The sequence below is a fragment of the Homo sapiens genome, chromosome 2, assembly GCF_000001405.40.
Source record: "Homo sapiens chromosome 2, GRCh38.p14 Primary Assembly".
Taxonomy (NCBI): domain Eukaryota; kingdom Metazoa; phylum Chordata; class Mammalia; order Primates; family Hominidae; genus Homo; species Homo sapiens.
This window is the reverse complement of record NC_000002.12, coordinates 8834152-8851609: the sequence shown is the minus strand read 5'-3', so window position 1 is coordinate 8851609 and position 17458 is coordinate 8834152. Positions and strand designations below refer to the sequence as shown.

Below are 17458 nucleotides of genomic sequence, written 5' to 3'. Positions count from 1 at the left end.
GCAGGTGGTTCAGTACAGAACAATATAATAGACACTTGTGTGCCCACCCTCAGACTAAACAGATGTTACTGCTTTGCCACATTAGGTTCATTTTTTTTTTCGCATGAGAAGAATGTTGCACATAAGGACAGCATACCCCCCTGTCCTGGTCTTCTCTCCTTCCCGAGGGGTACCGGCGATGTCAGCATGGGCCTCTTTGGGGGGCTTTGCCTTTGGCTGCCTTTCTTGTGAGCTTAGCTGTGTGATTTTACAACATAACTTGGTGTTACATTTCTGATAGCTTTTCTCAGTGTTTGTGGCATGATGGGTTGTGTTGGCTCAGTCAGCTTGTTGCTGGAGCCAGATGTCAGCTCAGATTTTAAGTCTTTAAATACTGCATGTCTCTTTCCTGGTGAAAGCTTTTCTGTTTTCCGACTGTGTACCTACTGTTGAAGTTTGTTTTGTGCTTGAATCTTCTTTTTTGTTACCTCCTGCTGAGTGATCCCAGTTGTATCTTTTGGTACAGGCTGAGCCTCACCATTAGCAGGGGCTCTGGTCCTGATGGGTCAGCAGCGCGGAGCTGGATGCATTGTGGCCCAGGACAGGGAGACCATTTCCTGGGTGCCGTCCCTTTGTGAGGGGTGAACATGAGAGTGACCCTAGAAAGACAGGCCTGAGATTTGAGATTAGATGCCAGCTGTTTTCAGCCATTACTGGGAAAGTCGGCTGCCTGGCACCAGAGACTGGAGAGTTGAGATCCTCATTGTCACTCCACCCTTTTTTAACGCATGCATCATTAGCCTCAAGAAGAATACTATATTCACATTGCCTTAGGATCAAGCCTCTTTCATAGGAGGGAAGGACCAATTAAAAAGTAATGGCAACCTGTTCTACAACCCTAGCCTTTCCAACGGAGCTTCTCAGAGGAGTAGGCAACACCACCTCTGTGTTCCTTTTGTCCCCAACACTCTACTGAACCATTTTTACAAAGGTCATTTTTGGCCTCTTTGTTGCCAAATTCAATGGTTTTCATTCTTTATGTCACTTTATCTCTGTAGCATTTGACTATATTGACAAGTCAAATGTTCTTCTTGAAGTTATTTTCTTGGCTCTGTGTAACGATCCTTCTTTCCTTCTCTTCCTGCCTCTCAGGATAATCATTTTCAGTCTCCTGAGACTCCTCTTCCTCCTCTCAGAGCATACACACCTACTGTTACAGCTCCTCTGTGCGGATCCTCCCTCCAGCACACATCTGTCTGCCTAACTCCCCTCCCGCCAGCCCTTCCTCCCTTTCCCATATCTGACCAATATGTATGCAACTCCCTGCTAAGTATCTCCATACAAAACTCAAAGCACCTCCAACTCATAACATCTAAAACGAAACCCATCATCTCATTCCATCAGCCCCAAAGCTTGTGATAACTCTTATAGTCCCTATCTCATTAATTATTATTTCCCTGGCTACCCAAGTCAGAGACCTGTGTACCATCTTGACCTCATCAACCCTGTGTGCCCACCCCCCAGATAACCGACTCCATCTCATTGCCCTCCCTCCCAATTGTTCATCTAGTTTATAGGAACAGCCTCCTAACCGGACTTCCATTCTCCAGTCATGCCTTCCTTCAGTCCATTCTCTACAATACAGAATGGGGTCATCTTTCTAAAGATATTTTTTTAATTTTGCTTCAAAAGTGAAACTGGGCTGGACGCAGTGGCTCACACTTGTAATCCCAGCACTTTGGGAGGCCTAGGTAGGAGGATCACTTGAACCCAGGAGTTCGAGACCAGCCTGGGCACATAGTGAGACCTTGTCTCTACAAAAAATAAATTAGCCAGGCCTGGTAGTGTGTGCCTGTGGTCCCAGCTACTCAGGAGTGTGAGCAGGGAGGATCGCCTGAGCCCAGGAGGTTGAGCTGTGTTCTCGCCACTGCACTCTAGCCTGGGCAACATAGCGAGACCCTGTCTCAAAAAAGAAAAAAAAAAGGTGAAACTTCCTCTGAAATGCTTGTGATAAATGCAAACTTTTAATGTGACATAAAAGACTTTTGTGGTCTGGCAGCTGCTTGCCTTTGCTTCGTCATGTTTCCCTCTGATTTGCTGCCCTGCCAGTACACACATGCTCACTCTCATCCTCCAGCCATGCGGAGTAGCTGGACCTGCCCCACTGTCTGACTTGCTCCTGCCTCCTAGCCTGTGTGTCTGCTGCTCCATTTACCCAAAATTCCCCTCCTCCCCACATCCACCCCACCCCTCCTCCCTGGCTGGCTCCAGCTTCATCACCAGGATTCAGGTTCCTTGTCACTAATCAGGAAACGTTCGATGAACTGGTACTATGCTCCAAGCACTATGATGCATGTTAAGCATTCAAAGAGAAGGTGTTTTTCTCCAGGCAGCTTTTCCTGTGTCTTCCAGACACAAGTTCTCTGCTCAGTATTCTCATGTGTGGCTTACACTAACCACATGGTGTTGTCATTGTTAATATATATGTTTGTAGAAAGTCAAAAAGTACTTCACAACCAAAGAAGGAGATAGAGTACTCAATATAGAACAGTCTACAAACTCATGAATTATCTAACGTTTACTTCAGCTTAATTCACTCAGCTATGGGACTTCTGTTGCCAAGGGCCTTCATTACTAGCCACTAGTTATAGCTGATGTGCAGATACAGTTCCCAAAGTCTCTACACTGATTCATGGTAGCCGGCCACATTTTGTCAACATGTTTAGGACCTTGAGGCTATGTTGAAAGCATGAGAAACACTTAAAACACATACATTGGAATTGGGTGTAAGCAGAATCACTTAGAAAATCAGTCATTGTTAAACAGTTGCTAAACTGAAATAACCTATACTTCTTAAATACATTTCATATTCACACAAACCACAGAATTTTGTGAAATTTGATGAATTTTAGAAAATTTGCAGTAAGGCAAAAAAAAAAAAAGCTTAATACTAAGACTGAAAGTGTCCTGTGGACAAGATTAAATATTTTTCACCTAAACCCTCAGATTAGGAATTAATCGGTTCACCACACACACGAATTGGTGACTCCCTCCCTGATGTTTATATTAGGCATGACCTGGGCAGTAAAACACATTCAAGCAGTTTATGGGTCCACATTCCTTAGGGGATAAAATGTCAGGAGCACATGATTGTTGGTGCAGCGTTTCCTAGTTCTTCACTGATCCGTTGTCCTAACACTGATAAACAACTTTAACATTTTGGTAGATTTCTTTCTAATCATTTTTCTATCGATAGAAAAAAAAGATGGAGATATATTTTACAAAGTAAGTTTGTGAACTTCATTTTGGATTGAACATATTTTCGATTCCTCTCTTTTCCTGTTACACTTAACATTTTTTGTTTTGTTTTGTTTATGAAACAGGGTCTCACTCTATCACCCAGGCTGGAGTGCAGTGGGCAAGAACACGACTCATTGTGGCCACGACCTCTCGTGCTCAAGCAATCCTCCCACCCCAGCCTCCCAGGTAGCTGTGACTACACGTGTGCACCACTACACCCAGCTAATTTTTTAATTTTTTGTAGAGACGGGGCCTTGCCATGTTGCCCAGGCTGGACCTAAGTTTAATTAAAAGGACGACAGCAAGACAAAAGCAAAATGATAGATGTAGTTAATATGCAGATTAAATAAGCCGCATGTGCACGAACCCTACTGCAACCCATCAAGACAGAAAATGAGCTGTCAAGTTACATTTGTAGACTGAAGCGGTAAGCAAATTCCAGACACGGGGGCCATGATATGTACTTCTCTTCCTTGACCCTGGTGCACGGTAGTTTCCCGAAAAATTTTTTCCAGGGGGACAGGAGGAACATAAACAGAAAAAAATTAAAACTTTGTCCAGAATAATAGAAAAGTAGACAGTGGAATAATTCAGGATATACCCAATATAAGGAAACAGCCTGTCTGACTTATCATCTGACTTTCTGAGTCAAGTTTGCTCACAGAAAAACTGACGAATGATGAAGAACTAGGAAACGCTGCACCAACAATCATGTGTTCCTGACATTTTATTCCATAAGGAATTTGGACCCATAAACTACAATGTGAGTCGTGCTTTTTAAGTACACGATGATGGTGCTCTTTGTTGGAACTTGCTGTGTGAATGGCTCAACAATCAGAGCCTAATGCTGCTGTTGTAAACACGGGACTGTTTTTTTTTTTCCTTTGTCCATAGTCGTAGCATTCAATATATTTAGGTTTGCCAAATCATCTCCACTTTTGTTAATATTCAAACTGAGCTGGGCATGGTGGCATCTATCCCAACCATAGGGATATATAAGACCCAGGTCATGCCTAATTTAAGGCAGGAGGATTGCTTGAGCCCAGGAGTTTGAGGCCAGCCTGCTAGTGAGACCTTGTCTCTTAAAAAAAAATTCAAATTGAAACCTTGCTATCCCCCATGCAGCTCTATGCAGTCCATCCACCACCCCTGCCTCCAACTCCCCAAACACTACCACTGTCCTTGGGAATTCATGGCCCATGACCAGTAAGACCAAAATAAAAACAATCCCCATTTGCTCGCACTCCACCATTCACCTTTTGGTCTAATGAAAACCCACATCTCACGTAAGGACATAGCTTCCTTGTAGCCCTCTGAAGTGATGGTGTCTCTCTGAATCCTCTCATCACTGGGCCTTCAGGGGAGGCAAGTACTCTCCTTCCTCCTCCATATTATCTGCAAACAACTGTCTCTTCTTCCTTCCCAAGATACCAGCATCCAGCTCAGGCTAGCTGACATCAAACCTCCCATTCCTCCTTGCTGCCACCATCTACAGACTTTTCTGGGTCACCCCCTACTAGAAAATAGAAAATATTAGAATTTGGTTATTGTCATTCTCTTCAACACAACACATGATTCTTAATGATTTCAGTATCCCTGTAGAAAAACCTTCCAACACACTGGCCTCTCACTTCCCTGATTTGCAGTCCTCCAGTGATCTTCCCCCCTTTCTACATAAGCCGCCAATAGACATGCTTTAGACCTTGTTGTTACCAGTAGTCTTCATTTCAAGCATTCTATTCTCAACCACCTCCCAACTTTCCATCTCACCCCCTCTAGCATCCAGACTGTATCAGCTCACCACCATACTTCTATCCCCTTGATCTTAGCTCATGTCCTACTCAGGACCCCACTGAGACTCAGTGGGGTGAAATTCTAATCATCAGTTGCATATCCCTTCAAGTCCTTCCTGTTTCCCTCCATCAGCTTCACCTGACAAAGCTAAGCCAGTCCTCCTGAAATCCACTGGCGTCCTGTGCTGCACCCGCTCCTGCACCTTGGTGGCTGACATCGTCATGCTGCCTAGTTTCACCTTAGTAGTGCCTAGCAGTGCCAGGCAGTTCTGCCCATGTCACTCTGCTTTCCCTTCTCCTAGAAGATGATTTAATACCTTCTCTCATCCCATCTGCCGCACATCCTCTCCACTCAATCATCAATAAGATAAACAGAAGCTGCTGCTGCTAAATGACATGCTGACCTAAAGTATTAATATACCTTTAGCAAGAAAAAATTGTTTGATCATTTAACATATGATCAAATGAAGCTAACTAGCAGATCCAAATTACAAATTTTTTATGGCACAATAAAATTAATATTAACCCATAGTTCTCATAGAGTTGAAGGGGTTAAAAATGCACCAGTGGACCGAATGCAATATTAACTGTCTCTATTCCAGTTCTTGTTCCCTTTCATGGGAATCTGTGCTGTGAGTGAACTCTGGCTTTGGAGGTTAATGGAGATTCAAGGTGCCAACCTACATTGGGTGAGATGCCAAGACCCTGGAAATGAGCAAAGATCCCAATTTTCAAGAAAGAGAGGAAGGAACTGAACCTCTTGCTAACTTGATGTTGCCCTGAAAATACTTTTGGTTTGAGACTGTGAGCCAGTGTGGTTGGACGGCCGTCCTGAGCAGAACTCCTGGCCATGCGGTGCCCATCCCACCTTATGGTTGCTATCATTCACCTGACCCCTGCCGGACCGTTCCCGTTCTTTGAGGGCATTTACGCAACTCCCCTTAACCCCGGAGACCACTCATTCTTCCGAGCTGCCACTTCCTCGGTTCTTGCCTATACTATCTTGTACTGATAATATCTTCCATTAGTATATCACCTGTCTCACTAACTAGATTGTACTCCCAAGAAGAAGGACTCTCTAAGTCTTCCATCTCTATTAATGGGTAAGAATTTGATGATGAAAACAGCTTTACAGCCCTGGCAAGACCCCATCTCTACAAAAAATTAAAGAATTTAGCTGGGCGTGGTGATGCATGCCTGTGGTCCCAGCTACCCAGGAGGCTGAGGCAGGAGAGTTGCGTGAGCCTGGAAGCTTGAGGCTGCAGTGAGCCCTGATGGCACCACTGCACTCCATCCTGGGTGACAGAGTGAGACCATGTCTCAAAAAATAATAATAATAAAAGCAAGCAGCTCTAGAGTGTGAAGCAGCTGTGGCCAGGCAGTGGGTGGGCAACATGAACATGGTCTGCCCTGTATGTTGAGCTTGCGAAACCCCACTGAAACCCGACAGCTTTTCACATGAACTGATGAATATGACCTGCAGACAACAGATAACTCAGTTGTCCCTTTCTTTGTCCTCTAACCATCTCTCCCTGTCTCTGTCTCTTGCTCTCTGTGTCTCCCCATTTGAACTGGGCCTTTGAACACAGGGTTGTGCATTTGCCTCTCTTCTCCTGCCTCTCATATTTGTTCTAAACGTTGTCCTCTTGTGTATTCCTTTTCTTTCTGCTGCCATCCTGGAGTTAGGCAAACTTCCTTCTACATATTTTTCTGTAGAAGGAATGTACTGATTAAAGGGGTCAGGGAGGCAGCTGGCAAAGATATCAAGAGAAGTGACATCAACAGCATCATACCCCACAAAACATAACATCTCAGGAGCATCCTTCCTACCCCTCCCCTTTCCAATAGCGAGTTTGGTTAATAATGATTATTGTTTTCCTTTTGTTTTGTTTTGTGTGAGATGGAGTCTCGCTCTGTTGCCCAGGCTGGAGTGCAGTGACATAATCTTGGCTCACTGCAACCCCCATCTCCCGGGTTCAAGCGATTCTCCTGCCTCACCCTCCCACATAGCTGGGATTACAGGCACGTGACACCATGCCTGGCTAATTTTTGTATTTTTAGTAGAGATGGGGTTTTGACATGTTGCCAGGGCTGGTCTCAAACTCCTGACCTCAAGTGATCTGCCCACCTCAGCCTCCCAAACTGCTGGGATTACAGGCTTGAGCCACCTCACCCAGTCAATAAAAATTATTTTTTAAATCTCCGTTTAAGAAGTCAGAGTGATAAGATTAGGGGACCTATCTCTTCAAATTTTTACGTATTTTCCAAATTCTTTATAATGAACTCATATTCCTTTTATAATCAGAGAAGAACAATTTTTAAAGCAATGTGGTACGCAAAACATCTTCAGACTTCTATGGAAAATGTAATTACCATGAACTTGAAACCTGGACTGCTGAAATCATCATCTCGGTATGCTGATACTGTTAAAAAAGATGAAAGGGCGATTAAATTATAGTCTTGATGGGCAGAGTGGTGAGGAATGGAAAGATAACTCCTATTTTTCCCTCTACATAAAAACCACATAGCAAGTCCAGAAGACAGACCCTTCAGCTGATATGAGTGATTCTGCTGGAGTGAAACCCTGGGGATGCGTTTGCCAAAAAGATTTAGGCTCCAGGAACCATGAGAAAAACTAAAGAATGTGGAAAGAGGGATATATTTGAAACAAAACTGAGGAGAAATAATTTTTGTTATACTTTACAACAGTTATATCTTTGTAAAATATGAGTTTTAGAGCTCATAAGTATGAAAGAAATAAACAGCATTTGGCATGAGCGAGGAAATATTTGTGATTAAAATAGATATAATTTACTAAATGTCACCATCATATGAATTTTTTTTTTTTTTTTAGACAGAATCTCATTCTGTCACCCAGGCTGGAGTGCAGTGGTGCAATCTCAGCTCACTGCAACCTCCACCTCCTGGGTTCAACTGATTCTCTTGCCTCAGCCTCCCAGGTTGCTGGGATTACAGGCATGTGCCACCACGCCTGGCTAATTTTTGTATTTTTAGTAGAGATGGGGTTTCGCCATGTAGGCTGGTCTCGAACTCCTGACCTCAGGTGATCCGCCCGCCTCAGCCTCCCAAAGTGCTGGGATTACAGGCGCAAGCCACCGCGCCTGGCCTAATGTCACCATCATTTGAGACAGGTGAATGCAGTACAGCAGAATTGCAAAGCAACTTGCCTTTTCCTCAGGACGACTCCTGCGAATGCCTGGGCCTATGGGCCTATAGACCTCTTGCCTCCCATCCCTGGAGGAATTCTGAGTAGGGCTCATCATTTTCATAATTTTTCTTGTCGCTTTTACATCATAAAATGTTATCTTGCCACTTTTAGTCATTACAAATTATCATTTTTAGTAATTAAATGCCTGGCCCAGTATAATAGCAAAAATAGTGAACCCAAGGATCTCCCCTCTCCAGTTCAGATCTGCAGTGGGGGAAGGGGCTAGGGTTTCTCATCACCAGCCCGCCATCATCTGCCCCCTGCCACACCTGGCGTCCGACCCTCCTTTCCTCCTCCATCAAAATGTGGCTACAGCCGAGCCTGTTTCCAATAACTTCTTTCCAGGCTGTTATCTGGATTGCTTTCCAAAACATTCCTAAGAAAGAACAAGTTGCATGCTGCGTATCCTCAGGGATTTTTCTTTGCTGGGGAGAGGAGCAGGAGGTTCAGGTGGCATGGGCATTGTCTTATTGGTGTCTGGGACTGAACCTCCTGTGTCTTCTGAGATGGACATTTGCAGAGTTCTTTACTGAGAACCCCCAGGAAAGTTCAGCGGTGTTTGGACCACCCAAGCTGGAGAGCCCAGCACTCCCTCGCTCTCCTTCTGCCTTGCTCACTGTTGTGTTCCAGGTTCCTCAAAGAGACGTGTTTCAGTTGTGCAGGTTCACACACACTCAGTATGGCTCACACCCGGTGGGCAGAGCTCGGCCTGGGCATGAGCCTGGAACTGCTTAAAGCCAGTGTCCTGGGCTTGTTGTAGAGGGATGGAGTTACAGAAATTATGAGGGCAGAGGTACTAGGGGGTTTGGGGTGAGAGGTGGGGTAGAGAGGTGGGGTGGGGGTTAGAATGAGGGCGGCCCTTCTCAAAATGGAGCTTGATGGGGGAGGCGAAGGCTTCAGGAGCCCCATCTTCCTGGGTCATCATTTCACTAACCAGCACACTGCAGTGAGCCCTTTCAGTGACCCCTTTCAGTGACCAACCTCTGATAGAGAACCCACACTTCCTGTGTCCACAAACCCACCAAGAAAAGCTGTCAAATGCCTTGCTGATTATTCGCATAGTTCCTTATGTTTGGAGCACAGCTTCCCATTCTGGGGCTACAGATCCCTGCGAGAACACAAACTGCAACTCCCGTGTTGCTTTCACAATCGGTGATGACTAGAAGGACACCTGCTGTCCTCTGTGGGTCCTCCAAACATTGCTTGACCTTAAAAAAGGATGTTGGTATTTGAAATCACTGATTGGGACACAATGGAACTGAAACCAAGTCTGACAGGGTGTTTCATTAGAATCAGCTGGAGAGATCTTTTAAAATTCACATTCCTAGGCCTTGCTGCCAATAAATGTCAATCTTGATTTTTAAAAAGGTGATTTTAAAAAGATGATTGCGGTGTGCATAGGTCGGGAACCATTGAAAAGCACCACCCATGTGTCAACCCGGCAACTCAGGTGAAAGCCAGCAAGGAGCATGGACGGCTTCATCAGAAGTTGTCAGCGAGGAGCATGGACGGCTTCATCAGAAGTTGACGTGACGCTTGTAAGCCAAAAATAAAATCCTAAGGCCTCCCAACCGTCTGCATGGACCCCTCTTCTCTGCCAAGGGCATTCCAGAGTTAACCTTAACATCTAGTTCAGGCCATGATGGAAGAGGGAGTCAGGCCTCTTTATATCCCTCCAGCATTAACATCAATGTAGACATAAAGTCTGATAAGAAACATTGACAGTCTATTCTCTCTGAAGCCTGATACTTGGCGGCTTCACCTGCTTAATAAAACCTTGGACTTAAAAAGTAAAGTCTTAAAAAGTAGAAAGTAAACCCCTTTCTACTGATAATAACTCTTTCAACCAATTGCCAATCAGAGAAATTTTAAATCTACCTATGACCTGGAAGCACCCCCTCCCTTCCAGCTGTCCCGCCCTTCCAGATGGAACCAATGTAAATCTTACATGTATGGATTGATGTGTTATGCATCCCTAACATGTTTAAAAGCAAGCTGTACCCTGATCCCCCTGGGCACATGTCCTTAGGACTGCCTGAGAGTATGTCACGGGTGCTCCTTAGCATTGGCAAAATAAACTTTCTTAATTGACTGAGACTGTCTCAGATATTTTGGGTTCATACCCTCATGAAACAAGGAGAGAATACCCCCACACATACAATGAAGACCTAAATGGTGTGATTTCTTTGGTAATGGCTTTGCTAAGGGCAGCCACTCTTGTAAACAGGGCGGGGTGGAGGAGGGGGTGTCGGAGGTATGGTGGGATATAAGGATGAAGTCGACCTTAGAGTCGGGGAGAGAACAAGGACAGAGATTAAATGTGCCTTCTTTAACACAGCCTTTCTGAGTCCTGACACTGTCCCAGGCACTGTGCAGTACGAAGATAAGCACGGAGAATGAAATGGCCAACTCTGTGGGGGTCCACTAGGAAGGTTCACAAAAGAGGTGACCCCCTCTGCTGTATCTTAAATAGAATTTGCCCATCACATTCGGTTGGATGAGGCTAGGAAGAATGTCCAGGTTGGAGAACATCACTTTGGAAAAGAATGGAGATGAGAAGGAGCACGGCTCAAAGTTCCAGGAACTGTCAATATTTACCAGCCTTGGGGTGGGAGTAGCAGCGTGGGAGGGGGCAGGAAACAGAGCAGGGCCAGCCTCTGAAGAGCCTCGAGTGTTAAGTACCATTTGGGAATTTGTTCTGGGGAAACAGAAGGCCACTGAAGAGTTTAATGAAAGAAGTGGCATTAGCTGGCAAGCTTGTGGAGAAATGGTTAGCAGGGCTACTGGGTTAGCAGGGAGAGTTGCTGGGGGTATTCGGATAGTCCCGGTTGGGAGCTCTGAGGCCTTTAAACAGATCACTGGGATGAAAGTGGCTACAGTCAGGTGATGGGCTGATTAACTGACCATTTAATCAGGGGGAAGATGACTTCCAACTTCCGGTTTTGGTGGTTAGGGTTGGAGCCAGGTCTCTGAAACTAGTGACGCAGGAGCAAGGGTGGGTGGGAGGGGTATGGGTGAGTCCAGTGGGGACAGAACTCTGCAACCCCAACAATTCATGGGAGGTGGAATCTGAGAAGGAGCTGCCAGAAGAATGGGATAGAAGCCCAGGAGAAGAAATATTTCCAGGAGGGGGCCGGGCGCGGTGGCTCACGCCTGTAATCCCAGCACTTTGGGAGGCTGAGGCGGGCGGATCATGAGGTCAGGAGATCGAGACCATCCTGGCTAACACGATGAAACCCCGTCTCTACTAAATATACAAAAAATTAACCGACCGCGGTGGCGGGCGCCTGTAGTCCCAGCTACTCGGGAGGCTGAGGCAGGAGAATGGCGTGAATCCGGGAGGTAGAGCTTGCAGTGAGTTGAGATCGCACCACTGCACTCCAGCCTGGGCAACAGAACGAGACTCTGTCTCCAAAAAAAAAAAAAAGAAATATTTCCAGGAGGGAGTGCTAAACTGTGCTACCAAGAGAGGGAGGGAAGAGGATGAGGGAGGACAGAAGGAGGACTAGGGGAAGTGGTGGGAGGATTGGAGAGGCTTGGGTGGCTGGAGGAAGACGGGAGGACAGAGGGGGGGATGGGAGGAAGAGGGGTGTGGGGAGAGTTGGGGGAGGATGTGGGGGCAGAGGGTGGAGGAAGCAGTGAGAGGATAAGAGGAGGATGGAGGGGATTGAGGGAAACAGCTGGAGGCTGAGGAAAGATGGGGTTGGGGGGTGGTGGGAAGGGTAGTGGATGCTGGGGGAGGCAGCCTTCTATTTCCATAGGACAAATTTGATACTCTTCTAATCCCTTCAGTGGCCTTCTATTTCCCTAGAACAAATTCCCAAATGGTACTTAACACTCAAGGCCCTTCAGAGGCTGACCCCTGCTCCATCTACTGCCCCCTCCCATGCTGCCACCCCAGCCCCAAGGCTGGCAAATATTGACAGTTCCTGGAACTTTGGGCCACCCTCCTTCTCATCTCTATTCTTTTCCAAAGTGTTGTTCCCCGACCTGGACATTCTTCCTAGCCCCATCCAACTGATGTGATGGACAAACTATACTTCAGATACAGCTGGAGGTGCGGGGGGGGGGGGTCCCTTCTTTTGTGAACCTTCCTAGTGGACCCCAAGCAGAGTTGGTAACTCCATCCTCTGTGCTTACCTCCTTACTGCACTGTGCCTAGGACATGGTCAGGACTCAGAAAGGCTGTGCTAAATAACGCACATTTAACCTGTTTCCTTGTCTTCTCCCCTACTCTAAGGTTGGCTTCATCCTTATATCCTACTGATATGGTTTGGCTCTGTGACCCCACCCAAATCTCATCTCGAATTGTATTCCCCATAATCCCCACGTGTCAAGGGAGGGACTTGGTCGGGGGTGATTGGATCACGTCAGCGGTTTCCCCCGTGCTGTTCTCGTGATAGTGAGTGAATTCTCACGAGATCTGTTGGATGTAAAAGGGGCTTTTGACCCTTTTGCTGGGCACCTCTCTTCCTGCAGCCATGTGACGAAGGACGTGTTTGCTTCCCTTTCCGCCATGATTTTAAGTTTCCTGAGGCTTCTCCAGCCATGCAGAACTGTGAGTCAATTAAACCTCTTTTCTTTATAAATTACCCTGTCTCAGGTGGTTCTTTATAGCAGTGTGAAAACGGGCTAATACACCTACCATACTTCTAACCCCCAACGCCTGACCCACCCTGCCCTGTTTACAACAGTGGCTGGCCTTAGCAAGTCATTATCGAAGAAATCACACCATTTAGGACTCCACTGTACACGTTGGGGTGTTCGCTCCTTGTTTCATGAGGGGCACACCAACTTCCGTTTTTGTTTGTTTGTTTGTTTGTTTGGAGATAGGATCTTGCCCTGTTGCCCTGGCTGAAGTGCAGTGGTGTGATCTCAGCTCACTGCAGCCTCGAACTCCTGGGCTCAAGTGATCCTCTCACCTCTGTCTCCTAAGTGGCTGGGACTACAGGTGTGCAACACCACGCCTGGCTAAGTTTTGTATTTTTGTATTTTTTTTTTTTTTTTTTTTTTTTGTAGAGAAGAGGTCTCTCCATGTTGCCCAGGCTGGTTTCAAACTCCTGAGCTCAAGTGATCCTCCGTCTTGGCCTCCCAAAATGCTGGGATTACAGGAGTGAGCCATTGTCCCCACCCCGCACCAACTTCTGATGAAGTCAGGCTCCTTATTGGCTTTTTCCTGAGTTGCCAGGTTGACACATTGGTGGGTGCTTTTCGATGGTTCGCAACCTACGCACGTCGTAATCATCCTTGGACCTTTTCAAAAATCAAGATTGACGCTTGTTGGCAGCAAGGCCTAGGAATGTGGAGGCTGAAGGAGGTGAGGGGAGGTGCTGGGAGACCTGGAAGGAGTGTGAACTACAGGCCCCGCGAAAGGCAGAGGTCTCGCTCCTGGATCCGGAAGAAGGCTGCTGAGCGGGCTTTCATTTCTTATGTATGTGCAGTTTCTTCTGAAGATATAATTGATGTTTATTTCTCTGAATAAGCTTGATTATAATGGAAAATAGGGATAATAAATTAACTGTAATAAGAGTGACATTGACACTGAAAAACCTTGCCTGGGGCGCTTGTCCTGGGTGTCCCCGCCCCGCGGCCCCTCCAGCCCCGCCTGCTCTACGCCCCGCCCCGCCCCTCCCCTCCACGCCCAGGGGGCGTGGCAACCCGGAGTCCCTCCCCTACCCAGGGCACGTGATCTGTCAGTTCGCGGAGAGGGAAGAATATGGCCGCCGGGTGTGGTGAGGGCGACGCGCTTGCAGTCGCCGTCTCTTGCTTCCCCGTCCTCTGACATCGCCTGCAGCCGAGCGGGCCCGTTCCGCCGGAGCTGAGGACCAGGTTGGGAGACCGTCAGTGTGGAGGCCGGTCCGCGAAGCTTTGCCGCGGGATTGGGGAGGAGTCGGGGGCGAGGCCGGGCTCGGGGAGTCGGGCGGGGAGGTGGGACAGCCGAGGAGTGCGCGGAAGGGGCGAGCTCGGACCGGGGGTCCCGGGGAGGGCATGGCGCGGGCCCCGGACGCTCGGGCCCCGGCTTTCGGGGCGAGTCCGCGTTTCCTGGAGCGCCGGGAAGGTCTCCGACCTTGGAGTCTCTGGTGGTCTGTCTCCTGAGGGGCCCCTCGGGTGGGTTGGGGTGAAGGGTGTTGGTAAAACCGTTTTTTTTCTTTTGCCAAGCAGCCTCTGGCACATCCACCACCTTGAGAGCCCCCTTAGCTGGTACCGCTAGTCTTTCTAGGTTCCTCCTCCTAGGCTTCCACGGGCCGGGAGGTGTTGTTTTCTCCCTTGCTTTTATCGTGGGCTCCATTGCTCCATTGTCCTGTGCAGGCTTTTAAACGCCTGGCAAAATAGTGCAAGCCATTGATTTCCACGCCTCCAAGATTTATTTATAGGGAAATAATTTCTTCATCACTTTGTAATGTTGGAATTTTTATTCTTTCAAGTTGACAGGTTTAAACCGATGAAAAATTTTTTTATGAATAACTATGCAGCCATCTCTGCTCCCTATGGGCGCTTGTTAAAAATGTAGATTTCTTAGCGTTTTAGAGATTCCCATTCCTTCGGCCTGAGGTGTGGCTCGGGAATCACCCCTTCAGGTTCGTTCCTGTCCACATTTTGACAACACTGAGGACCAGACATCTACACCTTTTTAAACCACCGTGGGGTATTGAGTGCAGAGCCCAGGTTGGGAAATGCCGTGGCCAGGTGTGTTCTTTGTTCTCTTCTAGCTTTACTAGCATGGACTACTTTCATCAGAATCATTTTGGGGTGCTTGTTAAAATGTCAGTTTCTGGGCACCACCCCAGATCTAGGGAATGGGATTCTCCCGGGGAGGAGCTCAAGGGATATGTGTATTTGACAAGCTTCCCAAATAATTTTGGTGCACACAAGTTTGAGAATCCTTGTTCTACACCCTTTGTGTGAATAATTTCCAGATCATTCACACACAGTGTGAACGGTATCTTTTTCCAAGTATTGGGTGGGTTTCTCCAACCTAGTTCTTTTGGGACACTTCAAATTCAGCCTGGCCAAAGCCCCATTCGCCCAGCTGGGGTGGTGGAAGGGAGGAGGCATAACTTAAGTAGAGAAAAGTCTGCTCTTTCTCCTGCTTTTTTTTTTTTGGTTAAGGGCAGCTCCATTCTTCAGTCACCTATGCTGGGCATCTGGTCATCTTCCACCTGTTTTCTTTTCCAACCAGTCACATAGTTTTATCTTTATATCCAGAATATCTCTTCTGGATATTTTGGTAGTTCAGAAAGTTCAAATGTCAGGGATTTTATATTTTTCAAGTTAATATCCCTCATTTCTTCTCTATTCCCACTGCCTCTCTTGTGTACTGTCTGGTGATTCCTTGACTGGTATCTAGGGCCCTGATTCTTTGTATTTTTCCAGTCTGGGTCACATACACTGCCAGATTAATTTTTATAGGATCATGTATGAATGTGCCATCCCCTTCTTCCTGCTTTTGCTCAAGAACGGTCAGTTTCTCCATTTTATGTGCTACTGTATTTGTCAGGGCTGTTTAGAAGACAGTAGAAACTTAAACCTTTTACTTCAAGGAAAAGGAGATAATAGGATTGAATGAGAGTCAGAAAGAAGTCAGGATCCCAGGTACCTCCATTTTCTACATCTCCCTGGGGCAACTTTTTTTTTTTTTTTTTTTTTTTGAGACAGGGTCTGGCTCTGTTGCCCAGGCTGGAGTGCAGGTGGTGTGATCTTGGCTCACTGCAGCCCTGACCTCCTCTTAGGGGCCACATTTGTTCTCTTACTTAGGAGGAGTCTCTTTTCTGTTCATATCTGTTGTATTCTCTCTTTGCTGATTGGCTGTCTCAGAACTGTATCATTTTATGTGTGACCCATATTGATTGGCCCAGTCTCTGGTTTCTAATTCCCAGTTCTAGAGAGAGAAGTCTGATTGGCCCAGCTTATCTTTTTCAACAGTTTCATGCCACAGATCATATGCCCATCCCTGGGAATGGCTGATGCTAGAGAACATGGCTGTTGAGGGTAGCAGGGGCTGTGGGTGGGCAAAGTCCTTCAGAAGAGGTATCTTTAGCATACCTATGCAGTTATTTAATTTGATGGTTATCTATTAAGTTTCTACCTGTTCTAGATCTGTAATAGGTTCTGGGGATGTAAGAATGAAGGAGAGAGACAGCCCTTAATAAATTAGTTCAAGGCTGGGCATGCAGGCTCACACCTGTAATCTCAGTGCTTTGGGAGGCTAAGGCAGGAGGATCACTTCAGGCTAGGAGTTCAAGAGCAGCCTCGGCAATATAGCAAGTCCTGTCTCTACAAAAATTAAAAATGTAAACAATGATCTGGGTGTGTTGGCATGCACCTGTAGTCCCAGCTATTCAGGGAGGGTGAGGCAGGAGGATCGCTTGAGTCCAGGAGTTTGAGTCTGCAGTGAGCTATGAATGTGCCACTGCACTCCATCCTGGGCAATAGAGCCAGACCCTGTCTCAATAAAAATAAATAACTAAATACATACATACATACATACATATACATACATAAGTTAGTTTATAGGTGACCCGCGAGGGGGGTTTTGAAGGGTGTGTTTTGGCTTGTTAAGAATGTTAAAGTTGGGTCAGGCATTACAGGTGGTTGGATCAGCTTGGGCATGTCCATTCATTCTACCGATACTGGGTTCTGTGGTGTACCAGGCACTTCTCTTAAGTGCTGGAGATTCAGCAGTAAACAAAACAGATAGTCTTTATTCTCATTGAGCTACATTTGTTTGGCTAGGGGAAGCAGACCAAAAACAAAGTATGTGGTATGTGGAGTGATGCTAGGTGTTATAAAGAAGACCTTTAAAGTAGGGCTGTGGAAGGGGGATATAGTAGAGGGGGAGAGGGCTGTTTTATACACGTATAAATGGTATACACCATTTATACACGGTGGTCAGAGAAGCTCTGATCAGGTGACGTATGTACAGAAAGTCACTGTGGCCTGAGTAGAGTCAAGGAGAAGGAGCAGCAAGAGTTGAGCTTAGGGAGGTGGAGAAGGGGTGGAATAGATCAAGCAAGGCCTTGGCCCTGGTAGGGATCTGGGATTTTGAGTGAGAGGACAACCGTTGGGATGTTTTGAGCACAGAATGGTTGTAAGAAGACACGATTCAGGAGGACCACTTAGGCCTCTGTGTGGAGGGGGCAAGCGCTGCCACCCAGGC

General features: G+C 46.7%; 1 protein-coding gene across 16 annotated transcripts in view, besides 3 other annotated features; it reads left to right on the top strand.

The window, feature by feature from the left end:
• Positions 1137-1431: a silencer, noted in NCBI's record as "tiled region #5743; HepG2 Repressive non-DNase unmatched - State 21:Repr". NCBI's record gives its function as "represses a minimal TATA promoter and a strong SV40 promoter by Sharpr-MPRA in HepG2 cells {active_cell/tissue: HepG2}" and the evidence as "EXISTENCE:reporter gene assay evidence [ECO:0000049][PMID:27701403]".
• Positions 13821-13870: a silencer, noted in NCBI's record as "silent region_11130". NCBI's record gives its function as "represses an Ori minimal core promoter by ATAC-STARR-seq in GM12878 lymphoblastoid cells {active_cell/tissue: GM12878}" and the evidence as "EXISTENCE:reporter gene assay evidence [ECO:0000049][PMID:35858748]".
• Positions 13881-13940: a silencer, noted in NCBI's record as "silent region_11129". NCBI's record gives its function as "represses an Ori minimal core promoter by ATAC-STARR-seq in GM12878 lymphoblastoid cells {active_cell/tissue: GM12878}" and the evidence as "EXISTENCE:reporter gene assay evidence [ECO:0000049][PMID:35858748]".
• The window catches only part of KIDINS220 (kinase D interacting substrate 220), a 116533-nt gene continuing 113071 nt past the window's right edge, over positions 13997-17458 (top strand). For all 16 annotated transcript variants that reach the window (NR_145965.2, NR_145964.2, NM_001348741.2 and 13 more), the window contains exon 1: positions 13997-14130. The gene's annotated coding sequence lies outside the window, so the exon portion shown is untranslated. The remainder of the gene's footprint in view (positions 14131-17458) is intronic.